The sequence below is a fragment of the Homo sapiens genome, chromosome 1 (genome assembly GCF_000001405.40).
Source record: "Homo sapiens chromosome 1, GRCh38.p14 Primary Assembly".
In the NCBI taxonomy this organism is placed as follows: Eukaryota; Metazoa; Chordata; class Mammalia; order Primates; family Hominidae; genus Homo; species Homo sapiens.
In genome coordinates this window covers 151832118-151854699 of record NC_000001.11, presented here as the reverse complement: position 1 = coordinate 151854699, position 22582 = coordinate 151832118, and the positions used below count along the sequence as shown (strand labels likewise).

Genomic DNA, 22582 nt, shown 5'->3' with positions numbered 1-22582 from the left:
GAGGTGTTGGCCGGGTGCGGTGGCTCACGCCTGTAATCCCAGCACTTTGGGAGGTCACCTGAGGTCAGGAGTTCAAGACCAGCCTGGCTAACATGGCAAAACCCCATCTCTACTAAAAAAAATATACAAAATTTAGCTGGGTGTGGTGGTGTGTGTCTGTAATCCCAGCTACTCAGGAGGCTGAGGCAGGAGAATCACTTGAACCCAGGAGGCGGAGGTTGCAGTGAGCCGAGATCACGCCATTGCACACCAGCCTGGGCGACAAGATTGAAACTCCGTCTCACCAAAAAAAAAAAAAAAAAAAAAAAAGAGGTGTCTAAGGCTGTGAGTTGGTTTTCTTTTTTTTTATTTTTTTATTTTTATTTTTTTGAGACGGAGTCTCGCTCAGTCGCCCAGGCTGGAGTGCGGTGGCTAGATCTCAGCTCACTGCAAGCTCCACCTCCCAGGTTCACGCCATTCTCCTGCCTCAGCCCCCTGCGTAGCTGGGACTACCGGCACCCGCCACCACGCCCGGCTAATTTTTTGTATTTTTTTTAGTAGAGACGGGGTTTCACCGTGTTAGCCAGGATGGTCTCGATCTCCTAACCTCGTAATCCGCCGCCTCGGCCTCCCAAAGTGCTGGGATTACAGGCGTGAGCCACCGCACCCGGCCTGTGAGTTGGTTTTCTGAGTCACAAAATCATACCAGAGTTTTCAGAGTCCGGTATACACTGCAGAGCACATACCAAGAACACTCCACCAGCACCCTCCAATCAAGGGACAGGCTTCCCTTATCCTTCTGGAAATATTCTTGGATTCTCCCTCAGAACCCCCAGGCAGCTCTCCAAGGCTCTATATACCCCATACTATTTGTTTATGTACTTGTTTACTCCTTTTGCAACTCAAGCCAGTCCTGCTGCCTTTTCATGCCCAAGCAGCATCTGTCCCTCCCCAAGCACTGGGTGGGGCTCCTAGACCAGCTAAAGGCGCCGAGCATCTGTGGGTGTTGCAGCACACCAGCCCAGCCTCGCCTAGCTCTCTGAAAGAAAGCCTGCAACAGAAGGGAGAGAAGCGGCCCCAAGTGCAGCTGAAAGCACTCCTTGGGAGTCAGCCAAGACCCTCCATCCAAGCAGGGCTGGATCCTTGCACTTGGCCATGATAAGGAGATGCTTCCAGGTGGCAGCAAGACTTGGCCACCACAGAGGCCTTCTTGAGGCCCCCCGTATCCTGCCCAGACTCAACCCTGCCTCAGCATTTGGATCCTCCACAGACTCCATGGTGAGTTCCCAGCTCAGCCAGATGGGCAGTGTTTTCCCAGGAGCCTAGGGCTTAAGGAGCACCCCAAATCTCCTCTTCCCAGCCCATGGCCAGGGCAGGTGGGCAGTGTTCGGAGGAGCTATTTGATTTGGCAAAGAGAAAGTGCTCTGGGATACCAAGTTGCCCCCATTCAAAACTAAAACTACCAGGAGACCTGCATCTGGCTCTGTGTCTTGTGTGGCCACCAACAAATGACTTTCCTCCTGTGGGACTCAGACTACTGCAGCAAAGCTGGGGTATCCCCAGACAGAGGACCCCATCTGTGGCATTGGCAAGCAGCTCACATGCTGTCTACAGTTGTGACTGGTGTATGAGCAGGTGACGCTACAGAGGACTTCCTTACGTCACACAGATGGGCACATAGTCTGTGCCCCAGCCATGGCACCACACCTCTGTGGGGGCCCAAATGTGTTTCAAAGGAGCCACCCTGCCCAGGCAGGCCCACAGCAGTGGGCAGAGCTGGAGTAGCCCCTGAGGTGGGGGTTGCTAGAATGGTCCTCAACAACTGTGACCCTGCCCTGCAGAGGAGACAGCATCTAGTGCGACCACCAGCTCTCACAGTCACATGCTTGGCAACCTTGGCCGTATTCCCTCAGTTTCCCCATCTGTACAGTGAGGCTAATATGAGCAGTTGTCAACTTTAAAGAACTGCTCACATGTTTTAAGCAGAACAAGGGTAAGGCACCACATCGAGCAGCATGCCCATCATCTCTGGCCCCACTCCCTGCCCGCCCTTCCCTTGCTCTTTAGCATCCTTATGCCCCGTCACCCATAGGGGTCCGCAGCCCCCCTGCAAGGAATATGGGCCCTTTCCCTTGGATCGATACTCTGGCAGAAGGGATTGAGAAGCCCCAGCACCCAGGAACAGCTGTTTAGAGGTCCCGAGCCCAGGCAGCAGCCCCCCTCCAGGATGCTGTCTAGTCATTCTGATTTTTCCTGCCCAGTTCTCAAGATTCTTGCCAGAGAAGACAGACTTGAAGGATTATGCTCTTCCCAATGCCAGCTGGTGTTCGGACATGCTGAGCCTGTACCAAGAATTTCTGGAGAAGACTAAGTCTAGCGGCTGGATCAAGCTGCCCTCCTTCAAGTCCAACAGAGACCACATCCGGGGACTCAAGCTCCCATCTGGACTGGCAGTTTCCTCAGGTAAGGACAGGACCATGAGTACACACACCCCAGCCGCCCTTCCCTGTGTTCTAAGACTGAGAAGCAACTTCACAGACCGCCTTCCAGTTCTCAGCGAGTTCTTCCTGCTGTCCAACTCCACCCCTGATGCTGCAGCCCCAGGCAACAGGCGGCGGGTGTCCTCTCAGGTCTCCAGCTCCCCTCCTCCCATCTGAAGCAGCACACCCTGGTGGGCCCACCTTCGCTCCCAGCCAAGCATGTCCCCACTGGAGGACAGCCAGCCCAGCTCCTGCCCCGACTTCTCACTGACTGCCCCTCCCTAACTATCAAGCCTCATCCCAAGCCTTCCGCCCCAACCCCATGAAAGCCCTTGGACCCCACACCCCTTCCACTGAGGCCCTGCACATCATCCCTGCTGTGCGGGGTCTGGAGCAGCACTCCTGAAACACCTAATGATCCTAATGGATCCTAATGATAGAGCTTCCACCTTCTTGTGTGTGTGTGTGCACTCGTGTGTGCACGCATGTGTATCTCCCTGTCTCTCTCACTCATATATGTTGTCTTCCTGCCTAGTGATGAAGGAGTGGTACAGGGGACAGACTACCCTTGGGTTTATGGCACAAACAAAGCAGGAATACCAACATAATTTTTTTTCAAAGAATTTGATACTTCCAAAAAAGGATGTAGTAGTGGTAGCTGTCTTGGAAAAAAAAAATCAGAACTTTGATGGACTTTTCTGCTCTTATTTTACTGTTTACTATTATTCTTTTGAATTATATGTGAGTTACATGAGTAATTACATTTTCAATTTTCAATGCTTATGGTCTCTTAAAGTCTTGCCCTGGCCCTGATCCTATCTCCATTCTCAGCCAGGGCACTTCCTGCATGTTTCTGCCCTAGACAGAAAGGCTCTGTGAGGACAGCAACTGTGCCTCTGCTCCCAGAGGGAAGGCTCCCTGGGGGTGGACCTGGTGTCCTCTGGTTTTCTCTCCTTAATCTTGTACCAGAGGCAAGACTCAACCAAATGGTGCTGCATCCTGACCATACCCTCCCTTCTCCGGCTGCAACACTGCCTATCTCTCCCCAGACAAAGGTGACTGTCGCATCTTCACCAGGTGCATCCAAGTGGAAGGACAAGGCTTTGAGTATGTCATCTTTTTCCAGCCAACCCAGAAGAAGTCGGTCTGTCTTTTCCAACCAGGCTCCTACCTGGAGGGGCCCCCAGGGTAAGGTCACTGGTAGGACCTTGGCTGCCTCCTGGGCTTGGCTCAGCAGGGCAGGTTCAGCACCCACCAGGCTGGCCCTGGAGTCTCTATCTTTCTCTAAGGGGTGAGGAAGGGAGTGTGGGGCACTAGGCTTCAGCCTCACAATACCAGGCCTGGAAGGACACACAGGGTTATCTGGCCTAATCCCCAGTGTGCAGATATGGGCTTCTCATCAAAGTCTCAAAATTTTCTGGACAAAAGACCTGAGAGGCCACTTTGAGAAGAATGTGGTACACTTGGAAGAGGGCAAGATCCGGAATCTAGACTCTGACTTGGTGTCCTGCCTGGCTGCTGCTGGCTGTGGGACTCTGAGCAAGCAATTGACCCCTGGTCTTTAGTCTTCTTACCTGAAACCTGGGGCAATAATATCTACCTGCCAGGGTGACCAGAGATATGATATTATGGGCCTATGTGTGCGTGCTCATGAACCGTAAAGCACAGTACAGCTATCAGACACTTCTACCCAAAACCCATGTTCTATCCATGGGGAAATGGAGATGCACACAGCTAAAGTAACTTGCCCGAGGCAGCACCAGCAATCAAAGTCAGATCCAGGACTCTAATCTGGGAGGTGAGATTCCAAGTCCACTGTTCTCTCCACTCTACTCTGCTGCCTCCAGACTTGGAACAGACCTCAGGAGGAATGCACACTGGGCATAAATGTGTCCACAAGGGAAATCAGGCTGACCGTGGGTCACCAAGTTCATGGTTGTCCCCCTTCTCTTCCATCCGGATGCCTGCTCCAGACAGTCACTGAAGGCTGGAGGTGGTGCTGGAGCTCCTGCAAGGGAGAGACAAGAGAGGGCAGGAGTGGCTTTAGGGTCCTGAAGCCTGAGAGGGGCTTAACTGGGGTTAAATAGAATCCAGAGTGCTAAATAGATGTCAGGGCCTCCAGAGGCTGTGGATGCCAACTGCAGCCCTCAGTCACCTTGGCCATCCCAAAGGAGTCCTCCACAGGGACACTGCTCCACACACTAGGCTGTGCAGATACTAGTGAATTGCTCAGAGCCCTGCCCAGGCCATGGACTCCCTCCTTTCTGAAGCATGGCTGACTTTTATTTAGGGGCTGATGGAAGTGAGGCCAAAGAGGCAGAGGAGGACCATCCAACACTAAGGCCAGTCAGTGGATTGAGGGGTTGGGGGTCTAGAGAAGAGATTAGTATCCACCAGGCCCCTAGACCATGGGGAGTGGGAAGGAGGAGTTACTCGTTGGCCAAGAGCTACTCTGTAGATCCACATACTGGCCAATGGGTCCCCAGGCTGGCCAGTGAGGACAAGGAGGAGAGAGTTGGTTTCGAGTTCTTTGACACCAACTCTTTTCACTCTCTTTCAAGCAATTTGGGAGGCAGACAGGGAAGTGCCTAAGAAGTGTGTAAATTATGTTTGCAAACATTTGTTTATTTAATCTGCTGAGATCAGAATTGTGAAATTCATGGTGGAAAAACTAAGGCTCAGAAAGGTTTAGCAATTTGCTCAAGATCAAACATGTAGTGAGCTGTGGGACAAGGAGTCCAACTGGGTGGATAGAGACTAAAGAAGCAGGGAGGGAAGGGTCTGGAAAAGCCACTGGTCACAGCAGCAGGAGGGTAACCCATGGCAGTACAGTGTGGACAGCTGATCTGGCTCTGTGGAGAATGGGCTGTGCTTTTGAAAATCAGGAACTCAAATCTGCTTGGTGTTATTTGAATTCTAAAATGGGTGCCTATTTTCCCAAATTAGCCAACCATGAAGTAGCTGACATAAAGCTTGCAAAAGCAAGAATGAACATTTTACGCTTTTTTTTTTTTTTTTAATTTTGAGACAGTCTTGATCTGTTGCCCAGGCTGGAATGCAGTGGCACAATCTCAGCTCACTGCAACCTCCACCCACCGGGTTCAATCGATTCTCATGTCTCAGCCTCTCGAGTAGCTGAGTTACAGGCGCTTGCCACCACACCCGTCTAATTTTTATATTTTTTAGTAGAGACGGAGTTTCACCATACTGGCCAAGCTGGTCTCGAACTCCTGACATCAAGTGATCTGCCCACCTCAGCCTCCCAAAGTGCTGGGATTACAGGCGTGAGCCACTGCGACTGGCCATTCTATGCATTCTAAATAAAGCAAATGTCTGCGGCATTTGAGCATTTCAGCTCAATTTCAGCATTGAGCCTGCTGAAGCAGGCGCTCTGCTTTCTGTGGCAACGCTGCTCAGAAGTGTGTCATGCCAGCCCTTGATAGGTCATAAGTTATGTTTCACATTTACTTATCTTGAGATGTGGGCCCCGCACTGGCTGTAGTGACTGGTAAGGTGAGAAACAGCCCAGGGTTGTGCCTCAAAGACTGAGTCAAAAAGTTCAGGGACTTTTTCATTTCCTGTATATGCCCATCCTTCCAAATTATGGCAATTATTGCCAGCAATTAGGTAATGAACCAGAAAAATGTTTTCTATTAACTTTATCAGAAAAAAACAATTTCCCTGATGAAATAAAATGTTGTATCATTGGCTGCAAACGCATGCTGAAGCAAAACAGAAAAGCTCAGTTGATTTTGACGGGTTTGATCAGATGGGATGCAGCTGTTTCCTTCTTTCCTATTTGGCTGCCCTGAGGCTGAACGTCTGTGTTTGGAAGGGTCTAGGGAAAGGGAAAGGTAGGATCACCACAGGAGGGAGGGAAGGCCCATTGAGGGGGTCTGCCCAGCAGCCCCAGCCCAGGCCTTGCTCCTCACCTTACCCCACCCCCAGGTTTGCTCACGGCGGGTCCCTGGCAGCCATGATGGACGAGACCTTTTCTAAAACTGCCTTCCTGGCTGGAGAGGGGCTGTTCACACTAAGTCTCAACATCAGGTTCAAAAAGTAAGTATGGGCCCCTGGGGCATTGGCCAAAGTCACAGACCTTTTCATCCCTGGAAGTGGCCATCCTCGGCAGCTGGGGTGTAGGAGCCCTGCCTGCCACTCTCCTTCCCCAGCCCACTCCCAAGCAATTCCTCTAGTCCCTGGCCAGGACACAGCCTCTGCTGTCCAACTTTGGGAGCTGACAAAAAGGCCCTGAGCCCAGGGCCACTTCTGAGTCCTCGAGGCCGGGAGGGATGAAGAGAGGGAAGAGGACACAGAGAGTGAAGGGATGGGGAACCGGGTTCACATGAGAGATGGGCTAAGCTGCCTCGTCTCCCAGCTTGATCCCCGTGGACTCTCTGGTTGTAATGGACGTAGAACTGGACAAGATTGAGGACCAGAAGCTTTACATGTCCTGCATCGCCCACAGCAGAGACCAGCAGACAGTTTATGCCAAGTCCTCAGGTAAAGGAGCCCCCAGCCCAGCCCCAGGCCCCGTCCCACCACCACCCACCCCCAGAACAAACAGGAGGAAGAAAAGATGCCAATGATTCATCCCAAGCTGCGGTCCAGCTTCTTTAGGGGTGGGATAGGGCACCTACTAGGGACACAGATGAAGCAAGGGAGAGCAGAACTAGGATTTTTTTTTCTATATATGAGTTATCCAACCTGTAACGAAAGGACAGGACCCAGGTAATGGGTAATTTGCAGCCAAATGCTCAGAGTGTCCATCAAGCTCCAGCCATCTCAGTGCAGCTCTTGCAGCTCAACTCACCCTTCTCTTGCAGGTGTTTTCCTTCAGCTGCAGTTGGAAGAAGAGTCTCCCCAGTAACAGTCACTGTGCCTGCAGGAGAGCCACTGCCTCCCCTGCCTGCCTCCTGCCTCCTGCCTCCCCTGCCTGCCTCCTGCCTCCTGCCTCCCCTGCCTGCCTCCTGCCTCCCCTGCCTGCCTCCTGCCTCCTGCCTCCCCTGCCTGCCTCCTGCCTCCTGCCTCCCCTGCCTGCCTGGGACCCATCAAAGAGCAGGGAGGGGTCCTCAAGCAGCAATTGGTGAGGCGAGGGAAAGGACCCTTTTCTCTGAGTAAATAAAGTCTCACAGTCCCATTCTCGGCCCAGGGCCTTTCTGTGGTTGGAAATCAAAATCCTTCCAGGGCATCTCACATACCCACCTTCCCATTCAGCACCGACTGAAAAGATTTACTGAGTACCCGCCAGGTGTCAGGCACTGTGTGAGGCACCAGGCACCCAGAAGTGAAAGACAGGGCCCCGGTCTCAAGATGCACAATGCGGGAGCCAGGTGCCAAGTCAGAGTGCCCTATCACGCTCCTCCCACACCCACCCTGGCTTCCATCATGAGTGCAGTGTCATCTCAGCGGGAGGAAGGGCTAATTTTACTCTACAAAAGCAATCAGAAAACATCTTCTAGAAGAAGCTCTTCCTGAACTGTCTCAAAAGTTAAGTGGTGTTCATTAGGCAGGCAGGGGAGAGGAGGATATCCCAGGCAGAAGGGAAGTAAGAAGTAAGACAAAGGTGCAGAGGTGTGAAAGTGTACAGGGACTTTGGAGAAGAGCAAGGTGTTGAGGAGGGCAGGCGTTTAGGGAAAGAGAAGGTGGGCAGGAGCAAACCACAGGAAGGCTTCATAATCCCTGATGGAGAGCTGGAACTTTGTCTTGCAGGCAACAGGGAGCCTCCAAAGGGCTTGGGCTGGGGAGTGACAGAGCTTTGTTATTTAGAAAGATGACTCAGTGGCAGTAAGGCGTCAGCAAGACTGAAGGCAGGAGTACTAGTTAGGAGATCCCCACAGGCTTTACACTAGAGACAGTAAGGGCCTGCAGGGGTCAGAGCTGCGAAGCTGAGAGATATGAGAAAATGTTACAAATACAGGAAGTGCAGGACTGTGCCACTAGTTATACAATGTGGATCTGTGAAGACGAGCTCCAAGTTTCTGGCTTATGAGTTTCCAGGTGGTTATCACTGGAAATACAGAAAGAGGTGGGGGTAAACAATGAGCTCAGTTTTACATGCATCGAGCTTGAAGTGCCCATGGAACTTGTACCATGTGGCAAGTGCCAGCAGGAACGTGGATATTGTGATATGGAGCTTGGAGAGATAAGCTACTGACTCAAATCGTGAGCCAATATAAAATGTGACATGAGGCCGGACACGGTGGCTCATGCCTGTAATCCCAGCACTTTGGGAGGCCGATGCGGGCTGATCACTTGAGTGATTCGAGAGTCGAGAGGCTGGTCGGGAGTTCGAGACCAGCCTGACCAACATGGAGAAACCCTATCTCTACTAAAAACACAAAAAATTAGCCGGGTGTGGTGGCGCATGCCTGTAATCCCAGCTACTCAGGAGGCTGAGGCAGGAGAATCACTTGAACCCGAGAGGCGGAGGTTGCAGTGAGCCGAGATCACACCATTGCACTCCAGCCTGGGCAACAAGAGCAAAACTCCGTCCCAAAAGAAAAAAAAATGTGACATGAAACCCCTGGGAATGCCTTACACAGAGTGGAAGTGAGAAGGAGGCAAGGGGAAAGACAGAGGTGAGGAGGGAGGGGGAAAGGGGAGGGAGGGAAGGAGAAGGAAAGAGGTCAAAAATAGAACCAGAACCTTATGTCACACTAAGGCTCAAAGTTGGGATAGAAAACCAAGGATCCACTAAAGAGGCTGAGAACAGAACAGGAGTGACCATCCTTAAGAGGAAGAGGTCAGCAGTATCAAATGCTGAAGAGAAGGCAAGGAAGATGCGAATTAAAAAGAAGCTTTTGAGCCAGGAGTGGTGGCTCATGCCTGTAATCCCAACACTTTGGGAGGCCGAGGTGGGAGGACTGCTTGAGGCCAGGAGTTTGAGACCAGCCTGGGCAACAAAGTGAGACACTCATCTCTACAAAAACAAAAAAGGTAAGAAACTAAAATAAATAAGTGCATAATAAAATTAAAAAGAGACCTTTGGATTTGGTCATGAAGAAAATGTGGTTTCCTTTGCCAGAGCAATCTTAGGAGGTGGGAGAAAAATCCAGATTACAGTGGATGAAAATATGAACAGGGAATGAGGAAATGAATGTAGATGCTTCTTTCTGGGAATGTTGTTGTTATTCAAGGAAAGATATTTGACTGTATTTTAATTGCTAGTGGAAAGAGGCTGAAACTTTTAGAAGAAAGAGGGACAGAGGTGTCATCCAACAGAACAGCTCTCTTAGAGCTGTCTTGGAAGCCATGGGAGAGCGTCAGCATGACTCTGAGACTGAAAGGAAGGAGGTAGAGTGCAGAGCATGGCAGGAAGTTGAGGGGATTCAACCCAGAGTGCTTCAACTTTCTCAATGAAATGGAAGGCAAGGCCATTAGTGGGGAAAGAGGTCTGGAGGAAGGGGGATGGTTTGGAAAAACCGCTGTAGGGATCAGGAAAACAGGTACCAGGTACATGTGTGACCAAGACATCCTGAGCGCCCAGCTGCTGGTAGAAAACAGGTATCTGGAGTGGCACCAATCTTAGGAGAAAGGAAGGTGGGAACCAGCTGGCAAAACCCAGGGGCAATGGTGGATGAGTCAGGTGAGAACAGTGGAAGGGGAGGGAAGACAGCAACATGGCTGGTACACATTTCTAAGAAGAAAAGATTTGCTGTGAGGGAGAAGAACAATGGAGGAGGCAATGGCTATCCAGAAGAAGTCTGTAGCTCCTCTGAGCCTGGGGAGGAGAAGGGTGGCACCAGCTTCCACAGGGACAGCTGTAAGAAGTGTCCTGTCTTGAGACAGCCAGAATTCTACTGAGGCTAGTAGGTGGAGGGGATGTTCAGGAAGAGGTCAAGATTAGGGAAGGTTTACCAAAGAATTAGAGCTTCCCGGGCCGTATCATGAAGGACTTTGTTATTAGGTATGGTAAAGCCAAATGTTGAAACAGATAAGCCTTTAAATCTCTGTAGCTTAACCCATATCTTCAAATAGAATGTATTTCTCACTCACATAAAGTTCAGCCCATGGTGTCTAGCAGTCATTCAGGAACCTGGCTGACAAAAGCTTTGTGATCTCCAACACATGACTCCAAAATCACCCTTCGTGTAGGCATCCAGTTGCCAGATGAGAGAATCCACAGGGAGATGTTCTGGGCCAGGCCTCCACGTGGTTCCATTGGCCAGAATTCAGACACAAAGCCCCACCAAACTGCAAAGAAAGCTGGTTAGAAAATATGGTCTAACCCCAGCCTGGCCAATATGGTGAAACCCCATCTCTACTAAAAATTTTTAAAAATACAAAAATTAACAGGGCATGGTGGTGCTCGCCTGTAGTCCCAGCTACTTGTGAGGCTGAGGCAGGAGAATCACTTGAACCCGGGAAGCGGAGGTTGCAGTGAGCCGAGATGGCGCCACTGCACTCCACCCTGGGTGACAGAGCGAGACTCCATCTCAAAAAAAAAAAAAAAAGAAAGAAAATATGGTCTAACTACATGTTTTTTGTCTGTTTTTTTTTTATAAACTATAAACTTTATTCAGATTTTGCCAGTTGCCCACTAATATCCTTTCTGTGGTTCAGGATCCAATTCAGAATCATATGTCACATTTAGCTGTCACGTTTCTTTAATCCCCTTTAATTTGAAGCAGTTCCTCTTTCTTTGTCTTTCATTACCTTGACATGTTTTTTTTTTTTTTTTTAATTTCCTTTTTTAGAGACAGGGCCTTGCTCTGCTGCCCAGGGTGGAGTGTAATGACGTGATCATAGATCACTGCAGCCTCAAATTTCTGGGCTCAAGGGAGCCTCCTGCTTCAGCCTCCCAAGTAAATGGGACTACAGGCACATGCCACCAAGCTCAGATAAATTTTATTTAATTTTTTGTATAGATGGGGTCTCCCTATGTTGCCTAGGCTGGCCTCAAACTGCTGGCCTCAAGTGATTTGCCTACCTTGGCCTCCCAAAGTGTTAAAATTACAGGCATGAGCCACTGTTTGGAATCCAGTCCACTGATATGTTTCTCAGAGTACGAGTTAGTTGTTTTGTAGCGTGTTCCAAGGTTTGGATTTCTCCAATGTTTCCTCATCATTAGATTCAAGTTATTCATTTTTGTTGCAATATTTCAGAAGCAATGCTGTGGCCTTCTCAGTGCTTCATGACAAGAGAAACGTGATGCTGATTTGTCCCATTAATGCCAATGTTCCCTTTGATCAGTTGGTTACTATGGTGTCTGCCATATTTCTCCACTGAAAATTACCATTTTTACCTTTTTAATAAGTATCTTATTGGGAGGCACTTTGCGATTGTATAAATATCCTGTTTCTCATCATACTTTTGCCCATTAATTTTAGCTTTTATCGATCATTCTTGCCTAAAGCAATTATTACTGTGATAGTGGCCAGTGGTAATTTTCTAATGCCATCATCCCTTCAACATGTTTTCATTCTAACTATATGTTAAAGAAGAAAGTAAAATGGGGGGCCAGGCACGGTGGCTTATGCCTGTAATCCCAGCACTTTGGGAGGCTGAGGTGGGTGGATCATTTGAGGTCAGGAGTTAGAGACTAGCCTGGCCAACATAGTGAAACCTCCATCTCTACCAAAAAATACAAAAATTAGCTGGGTGTGGTGGCACACACCTGTAATCCCATCGACTCAGGAGGCTACGGTGGGAGAATCGCTTGAACCTGAGAGGCGGAGGTTGCAGTGAGCCGAGATCATACCACTGCACTCCAGTCTGGGCGACAGAGCAAGACTCTGTCTCAAAAAAAAAAAAAAAAAAAGAAAAAGAAAGTAAAATAGGTTTGGTGAGTAGCTAGCAGCCGCTGCCTCAGTTTAAGAGGAGGGCCAGTAGAAGATGACAGAGTCTATGTAAAAACTCTTACTCTGGCAAGTAAAATATTCAGCTTCAGGCATATGCTAGGGTTCCAGGATCTGCGGCTAGAGCTGGGGATTCAGGGAATCAGAGAGAATGAAACCCTTTGTGACATGGAACCAGGTCAGAGAGTTGTGCACAAATTCAGCAGCAGCGGTGAGGTAGGTGGGTCAGGCTCCCTCTCTAGTACCTAGACCACATGCTTCCTAAGCCATCAGTCTCGTGACGGGCAAAGGATAGGTGGACATGGATTTGAATGGCCTCAATTTAGTGCCTTCCAAAAGCTAGAGATGTAATGGAGGCCATAGCCAAAAAGCTTATGACAATAAACTATTTCCTCTCCCATATACTCACATAAAAACCTTTTCTCCTTCTGTGCTTTCACAGTGCCCATGATATCTACACTCTAGACCCAGAGTCTAAATCACTGTATACTAAAAAACTGGTTGCTCTTCATTCATGGTCAAGGAGAGTCTAATCTTCATTCAAACACTCCCAGAAGGAAGGAAATACATTCCATCCTTCCTAAGCAGTCAGGAAAAGGAAGAGGTTGGTCCAAGTGCAGTAGTGTTTACAACTAATTGATCACAACCAATTGCAGATTTCTTTGTTCCATCTCCACTCCCATTGCTTCACTTGACTAGCCTAAAGAGAAAAAAGAAGAGGAAGAAAAATAAAACAGTTGTGTTCCCTGGGTCCTACCTACTTCTGGACTTCTTATTATGGAAGTCAAGTGTCCATATTGTTAAGTCAGACTGAGTTGGGTTTTCTGTTTTCTCACACTTTTAGCGGATGTCAGCCTAAATGATGCCCACGTGTTATCTTTAATCCTCATACCAACTCTGAGAGTTTTATTCTTTCTGTTTTCCAGATGGAAAAGGTAAGCCCCAAAGAGATTAAGTTACATGCTAGAGGTCACACAGCTAGTCAGTCGCAGAATCCAGATTCCCAGCCCATCTGACTGATGACAAAGCAATGAATACTGCAGCACTCCAAGAACATGGACCCTCCCCAGAAACAACACCAGGGCTGAGCTGAGTCAGAAGCCACATGAATGGAAGGTCTGGAGGCCACCAGGGATCGCCACAGAAGAAACACTTGCTTTGTTAAAATCTTCAAGTATTAGATGACACAATAATCATTGCATTCACTGGTTTGTTTCATCTTTTTTCCTGCATTTCAGGATTTGTCTTATTGTTGTTTGCATGTTTATTGTCTGTCTCTCCCCTTAGACAGCTCTCTATTCTATGTATCCCCCTAGCACAGTGCCTGGTGCATTTTAGGCACTTCAATGAATGGATGAACAAATTGATTCAAGTATAATTTTGCTTACTACTTCACTCATCAAATACATCCTGACTGAGTACCTGCTTTGCACCAAGCACTGTTTTTAAGATTCTTAGTCTAGTAAGAGAGGTGGACATTAAACAAATAACCACATAAATAGAGGGGGAAAAACTGTAATCAATGCTATAAAGGAAAAGTATGAGGTACTATGAAAGTGTACAGCAGGTGCCCCTAATTTAGATGGGAGGGTGTCAGTGAGGGCCTCCAGAGCTGAAGCATGAAGGAGAAGAGTGGTCCTAGGGGAGGAACTAGCCTTGCTTCCTTTCAGAGACTGAAGGATGGTAGGTGTGTCTAGACTGCAACTGATGGTCTCATCTTGTCTGTGGTGGCCTGTGCTTCCTAAGATCTGTCAGGGATGGAGGACATAGGCCAGCTTGATCCTGACTGTTGGATCCAGCTTTATCTTCAGTGTTTCTAAGTCCAGAAATCCTGAGTCTGGCCACTTTTCCTTTAGCCACAATAATTCAGAGAACTATTAGCCAGAATAATGCAGACAACTGATCACTGCAAGTCACTCTGCCTTGGAGCTATTGGAATGGCTCCAGAACAGGGCACTGGGGGCCAAGGCAGGATTTCAACCAGGAGGGTTTTACAGAAGATGGACTTCACCTGTGAGGGCTGGGGTTGGAACCGAGCACCAAAGAAGTGGCCACTGTCCACTGATGGCCGTCTCCCTCTTCTCTGTAGCCCTCCCCCACCCCTAAGCAGCCCAGCTTCAGCAGAGGAGGCCTGGGCACAGGAATGGATTGTTGCTAGAAACCTGGCTTCAGCTGGAGGAAGTCAGAAGACCGGGCTGATGGCCGCGCAGACAGAGCTGTGTTTATCCAGGAAAAGAGGTAGGACGTAGGCAGCGGAGGCCCCTGCCAGCTCCTCCCATAAGGACTGCGCTGGGGGAGCAAGCTGCAGAGAAAGCTGCTCCCCTCTGGCTCTGAAAGTTTCAGGGCCTGAGGCCAGAACCCAAAAGCGACCCACAGGTGAGGCCAGCACTCCGGGCGCGCGACGGAGAGGGTCGCTAGCTCGGATCCCAGGGCAGAGGGTCGGAACACGGTGCTCTTGGTGGCTCCGCGCAGGGGTGAGGCGAGCGCGTGGTGGCGGAGCCTTCCGGAGACCGCTCTGAGGGTGGCGGAGAATCAATGCTGCCTTTGTGCTCGGTGGTTTCCGAGGGAGAAAAGGAGTGGAGAGTAGGAGGGGCGACCCAACGGCCCGGCCCCGCCCTGCAGACGCGGGATGCGGTAGGGCTGGGAGGCGCGGGAGCTGGACGGTCAGGGCTACTGGGGGTGGGATTCTGTGTCCCCGGGAGGTGCGTCTCCTTGGACCAGCCCAGGGTGTCCTGAGGTCAGCAGCCAGGTGTGTCCCCTGGCTGCCAGGAGCAGAAGTGAGTCCTCTTCTGGCTTGGAGCGACTCGAGGAGGGGAAGGAGGAGCCAGAGGAGGCAGGTGGGGCTAGGACTGAGGGATGGCTCAGGCCAGAGAAGCTTGAGCCGGGGCAGCCTGGCAAAGGGAGGAAGTCCCAAGGGGCGCCAGACTGGATCCCAGAGGAAAACCCAAGTCTTCGAAATGGGCGGGGGAGGAGGGCGTGAGCCCGCCTAGGGCGCAGTGTCCCAGGGGGGTTGGGATCTGAGTCCTTTTGCTATAATGCGGTTATTATCCTATTTGTCCTAATAGTACCCTAGGGTTCTGGTGGATACTATATGGGCCCTCTAACTGTAAGGTGAATGGGGCATCTTTAGTACCAGTGGGAGAATCTGTGTACTTGGTGACGGAGGCCCGTATATGAAAATGTGACTGACTGGCCCTTTGCTCCCTCCATTTCTCCCCAGCCCCCCAGACTGCGCCGCCCTTTCTTTTTCTGCTCAAATAGGGGTCCGCGCTCCCAGTGGGTCCGGAGACCGGGGCGCGGTGGCTGACCGCCCGGTGTACGCCAGCATCACTCACCTCTGACTCCTCTGCGCTCCTCGCCCAGCCCCGCTCCGCCGAGCACTCCCATCTGAGACGGGATTTGGACCCTCTCGGCCCTGCGGAATTCGGAATTCCATTACCCCACCCACCGCATGTGGCTCTTGGAAAAAGCTGGCTATAAGGTGGGGGCCGCGGAGCCTGCGGCCCGTTGGGCGCCTTCCGGCCTGTTCTCCAAGCGTCGCGCCCCGGGCCCGCCCACAAGCGCCTGCCCCAACGTCCTCACCCCGGATCGCATCCCGCAGTTCTTCATCCCGCCTCGGCTCCCGGACCCGGGCGGCGCAGTGCCCGCGGCCCGGCGGCACGTGGCGGGGCGCGGCCTCCCCGCGACCTGCTCGCTGCCTCACCTGGCGGGCCGCGAAGGCTGGGCCTTCCTGCCCGAGAGCCCGCACACGCGCCGGCGGGAATCCCTGTTCCACGGGCCGCCACCTGCCCCGGCCGGGGGACTCCCCGCGGCGCAGTCCCGGCTGCACGTCTCCGCCCCGGACCTGCGCCTCTGCCGGGCCCCCGACAGCGACACGGCCTCGTCGCCGGACTCGTCGCCCTTCGGCTCCCCGCGGCCAGGCCTGGGCCGGCGCCGGGTGTCCAGGCCTCACTCTCTGTCCCCAGAAAAAGCGAGCTCGGCCGATACCAGCCCGCACTCGCCGCGCCGCGCCGGGCCGCCCACGCCGCCGCTCTTCCACCTGGACTTCCTGTGCTGCCAGCTGCGGCCCACGCGCGAGAGCGTGCTGCGCCTGGGGCCCCGCGGCGGGCAGCTGCGGCTCTCCACCGAATATCAGGCCGGGCCCGGGCGGCTGCGGCTGCGCCTAGTGAGCGCCGAGGGCCTGCCCCGGCCGCGGTCCCGCCCCGGGAGCGGCGGCGGCGGCTGCTGTGTGGTGCTGAGGCTGCGGCCCCGCGTCCGGCCGCGGGAGCAGCAGAGCCGCGTGGTCAAGTGCAGCGCCAACCCCATCTTCAACGAGGATTTCTTTTTCGACGGGCTCGGCCCCCCGGACCTGGCCGCCCGCAGCCTGAGAGCCAAGGTGCTAGACAGGGGCGCGGGACTTCGCAGGGATGTGCTGCTGGGGGAGTGCGAGACGCCCCTCATTGCGCTGCTGCCCCCGCTGGGTGGGGGACTAGGTCCCGGGTCATCCCTGGCGCCCACCCATCTCAGCCTGTAGCCTGAGCCCCTGGCTTCCTCAGGACGTCTCCACTGTGTCTGCAGTCCACATTCTTTCCACCCTGCCCGGCTTGTATTTATTTTTGCTAATAAAATGTCCCCTTGTCCTTAGCCAGATATTTCCCCTTACTGGCACCTTACACGCTCGGGCATAGAGCCTACCGATCTTCCCTCTATCCCGGCCATACGCGGGGGGAAGATGCTCATTCAGACGGTCTGAGTAGAGCAGACCTTAAGCAGTGGTTCTCAAGCTTGAAGGAGCATCAGAATAACCAGACATCAGAAATCCTGGAAGAGCTTTTTAAATATGCAGGGTCCTGGGCTCCATCCCTATGAGATGCTCCTTCAGTAGATCTGGGCCAAGTAGGTCCTAAGGTCCCCGGCCAACAAGGCCCCCGAACAATCAGGGAGCCCTGCAATCACTGAGTCACTCTGACAGAAACCAACACAAGCCACCTTCCACTTGAGGCTGCACAGAGGAAATTAACACTCCCTTCCTGTGCCCCTCTAAAACCCACATCTGTCCTGAAGACAGATGAAATTTCTGGCTCTTGAGAGTGAGTCAGGGGATGTCAGATGAACACAGAGTGCCCTTTAGTCTTCCTTCTTCCCTCTTGCCTCTTCCACACCTGTGCGTCCCTTGAGGGGTGGGGCAAGTCTGGAGCCAAGAACCAGAGAGGTGCTTGGGTACCAAATGAATGAGATATAATGTCCCAGGGATTGAAAGGGGGGAGGTGGGGTACTACCAAAGTGTGAGAACTGTTCTCAGGAATGCCAGAAGAGCCTCCTCCAGCCAGAAGGAGGTGGGGGTGGGGGGAGGTGGATAATTGTAGGTCACATTGTGTTTACCTCTACCTGAATGTCCCTGACGTCAGCAGTGACCTTCTTCTCTCTCCCTCCACCTTCCCAGGAGCCGGTTCCTCTGGACTCAGGCCAGGCTTGGAGGAGGGAGGGAGGAAGTGAGGTAGGCACTAGGCTAACCCAACTTCTTTCTCCCTCTCCCTTGGGCCCTTTCTCATTTTTCATGGTGCCAGCTGTGGCCTGCACCAGGGCTAAGCTTGCGGGATCTGACAAAACCTCAAAAGCCTCAGCACCTGGACACGTTAAATTCCAACACACACACACACACACACACACACACACACACACAGAGACACACACACAGAGACACACACACACACACACACACACACACACACACACACACGGCTTCATTCAGACAGCTCTCCAGTTCCTTCTCCCTTCCCTGATTGGGTCCGCACCACCCAGCCCTAGGCCAGAGAACTCTTGCTCCAGGTGTCCACCAGGTGGTGGCATTGACCAAACAATCCTAAGTGCTAACTACTACACATGGATTATAACCACATGAGGAACTGTTCCAACAATTAGTCAAGCCATTTATTCCTCCCAGCACCTTCTATTAGGGTGTAAATACTATTATTATCCAATGGGATCTTGGGCCTCGCATAGCTAGTAAAGGGAAGAACTAGGACTCACATAGCTAGTAAAGGGAAGAATTCAGGGAGTCTGGCTCCAGAGTGTGGACTCTTAATCACTTCAAGATAATACCCCCCACTGCCAGCTGCTGCCTCCCAATCAAGTCACTCTAAAAGGGGCCTCCTTCCCTAAGATGGTAGCTCTGCAAAGGTTTCGTACCCTGCCAGTTTAAAATCCCATGTTTGAATTCTGGGAAGTCTACCTATAGATTTAGGTCTACCCCTAGTACTGGATTTCTATTTCAGCCCCCAAATTCTCCCATAACAACCCTTGGTGAGAAACTGGATTTGATGCCCATTTGAAAGTATCTGGAAAGAAAGTTAGAGGCCGTAGAACCTTCATTCATGCATTCCTTCAACAAATACTTCGGGAAGGTCCATCAGGTGGCAGGCATTGGATACAGCAGTGATTAAACAGACATGGGGATCAGAAAAGTGATAAAATAAGCCATTAAAATGTAAAGAATGCTACTTGGTGATATGTTACAGAGAAAAATAAAGCAAGAAAGGGAATAGAAAAGAGGGGTCAGATAAAGAGAAGGGAAGATTATAGGGACAGAAAGAGGGAGGGAGGAGAGGAAACTTTTTTTTTTTAACCATAGTACTTTGGACCAGGTCCTGAACTTTATCTGTGTTATCTCAGTTGATCATCACAACCACTCAGTAGAGTAGATATTAGTATTCCTCTTTTTTGGGGTGGGGGGACGGAGTCTCACTCTGTTGCCCAGGCTGGAGTGCGGTGGTGCGATCTCGTCTCACTGCAATCTCCACCTCCCAGGTTCAAGTGATTCTCCTGCCTCAGCCTCCCGAGTAGCTGCCACTACAGGCGCGTGCCACCACACCCGCTGGTTTTTTGTATTTTTAGTAGAGACGGGGTTTCACCGTGTTAGCCAGGATGGTCTCGATCTCCTGATTTGGTCTCATGATCTCGGTCTCGGTCTCATGATCCACCCACCTCGGCCTCCCAAAGTGCTGGGATTACAGGCGTAAGCCACCGCGTCACAACCACTCAGGAGAGTAGGTATTATTATTCCCACTTTACAAAGAAAGAAATGGATCAGATAGATAGGTTAAGTAAGCTTGCCTGGGGAACAGCCCTGGCTGGAGGGAAAGGTTCTGACCTGACTCCACCCAGACACCCCCACTGCCACCCCAACTGCTTAGGGGAAGCTGTGAGGAAATCCAAGGCCACTCCTCCCAGGAGCAGTTCACTCAGCATTCACAGCCCTGAGGCTCTGTGATGGGGGCCCTAGCATTGCTGGAGGAACATCCTGGGTAGCTAAAGTACAGAAACATGGGAGTGAGGAGGTCCTAAGAAACCCTCCAGTGTGCAGATTGCTCTGGCCCCAAAGCACTTCTATAAACACTAGTCAGAGGCCAGGTGTGGTGGCTCATGACTGTAATCCTAACACTTTGATAAGTGGATAAATGTGGGAGGCTGAGGCGGGCAGATTACCTGAGCTCAGGAGTTTGAGACCAGCCTGGGCAACATGGTGAAACCCCATCTCTACAAAAAATGCAAAAATTAGTTGCATGTGGTGGCATGCACTTGTAGTCCCAACTACTTGGGGGGCTGAAGCAGGAGGACCTCTTGAACCCAGGAGGTCAAGCCTGCAGTAAGCTGAGATCACGCCACTGCACTCCAGCCTGGGTGACAAAGTGAGACCTTGTCTCAAAAACAAAACAAAACAAAAAAATCCACTAGTTAGGACAGGTATTATTGCCCCATTTTTACTGATGTGGTAGCTGAGGGCTGAGATTTCCCTCAGGGCCTACAGCTAGTAAATGGCAGACCACATTCTTATAAGTGATTCTGCCCCAGCATTTAAACCCTTCTTGCCACCTCCAAGCCTGTGTGACTATAAATGTTAATTGGTAGAGGAGAGGTACAAGCAGGGTCACTGTGGAAAGTTCAAGGCCAGGAGCTAGGGTCAAACTCCCACTGTTCCTCCACCCACAGTGGCCTTTGTGACAAGAAGGGGGAGGGGTGGGGACTGTGAGATCTGGAGGCTACCGAAGGTTACAGAGCCTGGGCTGTCCTTTTTCAACGGTTGAGGCACAACCCATCCCTGAGTCACTCCAGTGGGTTGAGGCGTCCCCAGGCATGGAACCCCCTAGAACCCAAAGAAAAGTGGTCCCTAATCACTGGATCAGGCATCCCAAGGAGAGGGCCCTCCAAGGATGGGGCTGGGGAAGTGTGTGCCACCGCAGACTACCCAGGCTCCACATATTTTCCACCTTGACCCCCAGGCCCTCCCTGAAAGGGCAGATTTGTGCTGAGCTTTAAGTGGTTTCTGTGGTTTAGGGTTGGGGAAGGAAGGAAAGAGATGCTGGGGACTGCTCCCCAGTTCCAAGCCACCACCACCACCTCCCATCCCTTCCAGAGTGTTTGCCCCCAGCATGGAGATTTCCCCAATAAGGGGACTGGGCACGTGGGGATGAAATGATTCTCTGATCCCTATCAGCCCCTTCCTTATATAAGATTGTATTTGAAGAGGAAATAACCACCGCCCTGCTTTGAAAGGACGATTCTTCCAGATAAGGGGCTGTGATTGCAGCAAGAGGGAGAAAGTTTAGACAAGAGGGGGAACTTCCCATAAGGATAACCAAGGGATCTTCTTGCCCTGGGGAGAAAAAAAACTCAAACTATCCATGCTTAGGGCAGGGGAGAGGTAGAGAATGCCTAGGAAGCATGTGACACTCCTAGGCCTAGAGGTCAGGATACTGTCTTCTAAATCTCCAGTCACTTCCTCCCCACCCTACATAGTAGCACAAAGTGGCACAACTGGGGAGTCAGCTGTGCCTGCAGTGTCTGGGGATGCTCTGTGTCCATCCGCAAGCATTCTACGTGACCTCCACTCTGTGCCTGCAATTGGTGGGTTGTAGAAGAGGTAGTCACGAAGGGCCCCTGGGAGACCCAGAGTCAAGAGGAAGAGAGGCCTAAAAAGGAGAAAAGATAGAGAGGGGACAGCTGGAGAAGAGCCACAGACAGGCAGGAGCCAGCAAAGAGAGACAGAGAGATGGGGGATAACTGAGGAGTTCTGGGGAGGAGGGGAGCAGAACGGCATCTCCCCTGCACTCCCACGCCCGGCATGTTGCTGGCTCCTCCTGTCAGCTGGAGGGTGCTGGGGGGGCGGGGGGGAAGGGAGCTGCAAAGCACTTTACCTCTCACTCCAAACCTGCCCAAGGTGCAGAGCCCCCAAACAGACCAACATCCTGTTCTGTGCAGAGATGCATACATGGATGCGTGGGCCCACATTTACCAAAAGAACACGGGGGATAATCAGAGCCTCAGAGGCATAGGCACATACCCTTAGACTCAGTGCAGAAGGTCCCCAAAACTTCCCCTCCTCTTTCTCACTACTCATCCACTGTCAATGACCCTAGGAGTTGAAAAGTCCTTCTCCACTTCTACCTTTATCTCTCAATCTGCAGCCATGGGGAGACTCTGGGAGCTACCTAAGAACAGAGGTGCTGATGGTAGCAGAGTGTGAAGCTCCAGGGTTGGGCAGGAGTGGAGGATGGCGAGACGAGACGGCAGAAGAGGGAAGGGACAGCTGCTTGCCCTCTCCATGCCAGGTGCCACGTGCACCAGGTGGGGGGGAGTGGGCGAGTCACGAGGCTGTGGCATGGCTGACTCCTGCTCTGCTGTTTACCAGCTGGGAACGAGAGCAGGAGGAGGTGCCAGGGAGCCTCTTGCTGCAGCCTGGCCCCTGGCCAGTTGCTTGTTGGGTAACCAGGAGAGTCAGGCCCAGCTAATCAAACTCTGGGCCCAGGCCATGCAGGAGAAAAGCAGCACCAGGATCCCCAGAAGCCTCGTCCTCTTGGCCCCCTTCAGAGCCTTCACTGCAGGCCTCAGTGTGGGCCACTAGGTCTGGGAGCCTCTCCTTCTCCCAATGAGTCCAGTGCAGCATCTCTCCTCTCCTCTTCCCCACCATGGCTTCTCTGCCTCCAGGCACTCCTCCAGGCCTGCCCCTTGCCCCAACAGATGAGGAGCACGTAGAAGCATCAGGGGGTCAGGGAGTCCTGGCAAGAGCAGCAAGGGTTAGGGGCAGGGGCCGAGCAGGCAGAGGCCTCAGGGAACTGAACAGTCACTGGGAGGAGTCTGACTGCATCCTAGAGAAGAGACACAGTCCCCCAAACCTGCCCTCTCCATCTCCCCTATGCCTGTCACCTGTCTTAGGTAGAAATCACAGGATTCTAAAGTCACAAAGACTTGGGTCCAAATCATAGCTCACCCATTTATTGTTCTTGTGTGAGTCCTTGGGCAAAATCATTAATATCTCTGAGAATCCCTCCACTCACTGATCAATCT

The 22582-nt window shown here is 51.8% G+C and overlaps 2 protein-coding genes and 1 long non-coding RNA gene across 8 annotated transcripts, besides 6 other annotated features; 2 read left to right on the top strand and 1 right to left on the bottom strand.

Annotated features, from left to right (window-relative positions):
• Nucleotides 1–987: 987 nt before the first annotated feature.
• On the top strand, nucleotides 988–7599 carry THEM5 (thioesterase superfamily member 5). Of its 2 annotated transcripts, NM_182578.4 has the most exons (6): nucleotides 988–1257; nucleotides 2241–2442; nucleotides 3509–3647; nucleotides 6408–6518; nucleotides 6838–6962; nucleotides 7286–7599. In NM_182578.4, the coding sequence occupies exons 1-6, from the start codon at nucleotides 1135–1137 to the stop codon at nucleotides 7327–7329; spliced, it is 744 nt and encodes a 247-aa protein (NP_872384.2). In that variant the 5' UTR covers nucleotides 988–1134; the 3' UTR covers nucleotides 7330–7599. The 2 variants fall into 2 exon arrangements, with proteins under 2 accessions (NP_872384.2, XP_011507723.1); XM_011509421.2 differs by lacking the exon at nucleotides 6838–6962.
• C2CD4D-AS1 (C2CD4D and THEM5 antisense RNA 1) lies at nucleotides 3165–16423 on the bottom strand. Of its 2 annotated transcripts, NR_024237.2 has the most exons (5): nucleotides 15963–16423; nucleotides 15595–15674; nucleotides 12669–12959; nucleotides 10458–10655; nucleotides 3165–4467 (listed from the first exon to the last, which is right to left on the bottom strand). It is a non-coding gene; the product is annotated as a C2CD4D and THEM5 antisense RNA 1 (long non-coding RNA). The 2 variants fall into 2 exon arrangements; NR_152846.1 differs by lacking the exon at nucleotides 15595–15674.
• Nucleotides 6009–6776: an enhancer, noted in NCBI's record as "H3K4me1 hESC enhancer chr1:151820400-151821167 (GRCh37/hg19 assembly coordinates)". NCBI's record gives its function as "activates a minimal SCP1, AML or CMV promoter by ChIP-STARR-seq in primed H9 embryonic stem cells {active_cell/tissue: H9 hESC(primed)}" and the evidence as "EXISTENCE:reporter gene assay evidence [ECO:0000049][PMID:30033119]".
• On the top strand, nucleotides 14143–16882 carry C2CD4D (C2 calcium dependent domain containing 4D). Of its 4 annotated transcripts, none has more exons than NM_001136003.2 (2): nucleotides 14143–14497; nucleotides 15480–16882. In NM_001136003.2, exon 2 carries the CDS (start codon nucleotides 15711–15713, stop codon nucleotides 16770–16772), a length of 1062 nt encoding a protein of 353 aa, NP_001129475.1. In that variant the 5' UTR covers nucleotides 14143–14497; nucleotides 15480–15710; the 3' UTR covers nucleotides 16773–16882. The 4 variants fall into 4 exon arrangements, with proteins under 4 accessions (NP_001129475.1, NP_001381522.1, NP_001381520.1 ...); NM_001394593.1 differs by lacking the exon at nucleotides 14143–14497 and adding an exon at nucleotides 14531–14635; NM_001394591.1 differs by lacking the exon at nucleotides 14143–14497 and adding an exon at nucleotides 14880–15036.
• Nucleotides 14474–14543: an enhancer, noted in NCBI's record as "active region_1726". NCBI's record gives its function as "activates an Ori minimal core promoter by ATAC-STARR-seq in GM12878 lymphoblastoid cells {active_cell/tissue: GM12878}" and the evidence as "EXISTENCE:reporter gene assay evidence [ECO:0000049][PMID:35858748]".
• Nucleotides 15084–15133: an enhancer, noted in NCBI's record as "active region_1725". NCBI's record gives its function as "activates an Ori minimal core promoter by ATAC-STARR-seq in GM12878 lymphoblastoid cells {active_cell/tissue: GM12878}" and the evidence as "EXISTENCE:reporter gene assay evidence [ECO:0000049][PMID:35858748]".
• Nucleotides 15937–16026: a silencer, noted in NCBI's record as "silent region_1329". NCBI's record gives its function as "represses an Ori minimal core promoter by ATAC-STARR-seq in GM12878 lymphoblastoid cells {active_cell/tissue: GM12878}" and the evidence as "EXISTENCE:reporter gene assay evidence [ECO:0000049][PMID:35858748]".
• Nucleotides 16097–16216: a silencer, noted in NCBI's record as "silent region_1328". NCBI's record gives its function as "represses an Ori minimal core promoter by ATAC-STARR-seq in GM12878 lymphoblastoid cells {active_cell/tissue: GM12878}" and the evidence as "EXISTENCE:reporter gene assay evidence [ECO:0000049][PMID:35858748]".
• Nucleotides 16227–16326: a silencer, noted in NCBI's record as "silent region_1327". NCBI's record gives its function as "represses an Ori minimal core promoter by ATAC-STARR-seq in GM12878 lymphoblastoid cells {active_cell/tissue: GM12878}" and the evidence as "EXISTENCE:reporter gene assay evidence [ECO:0000049][PMID:35858748]".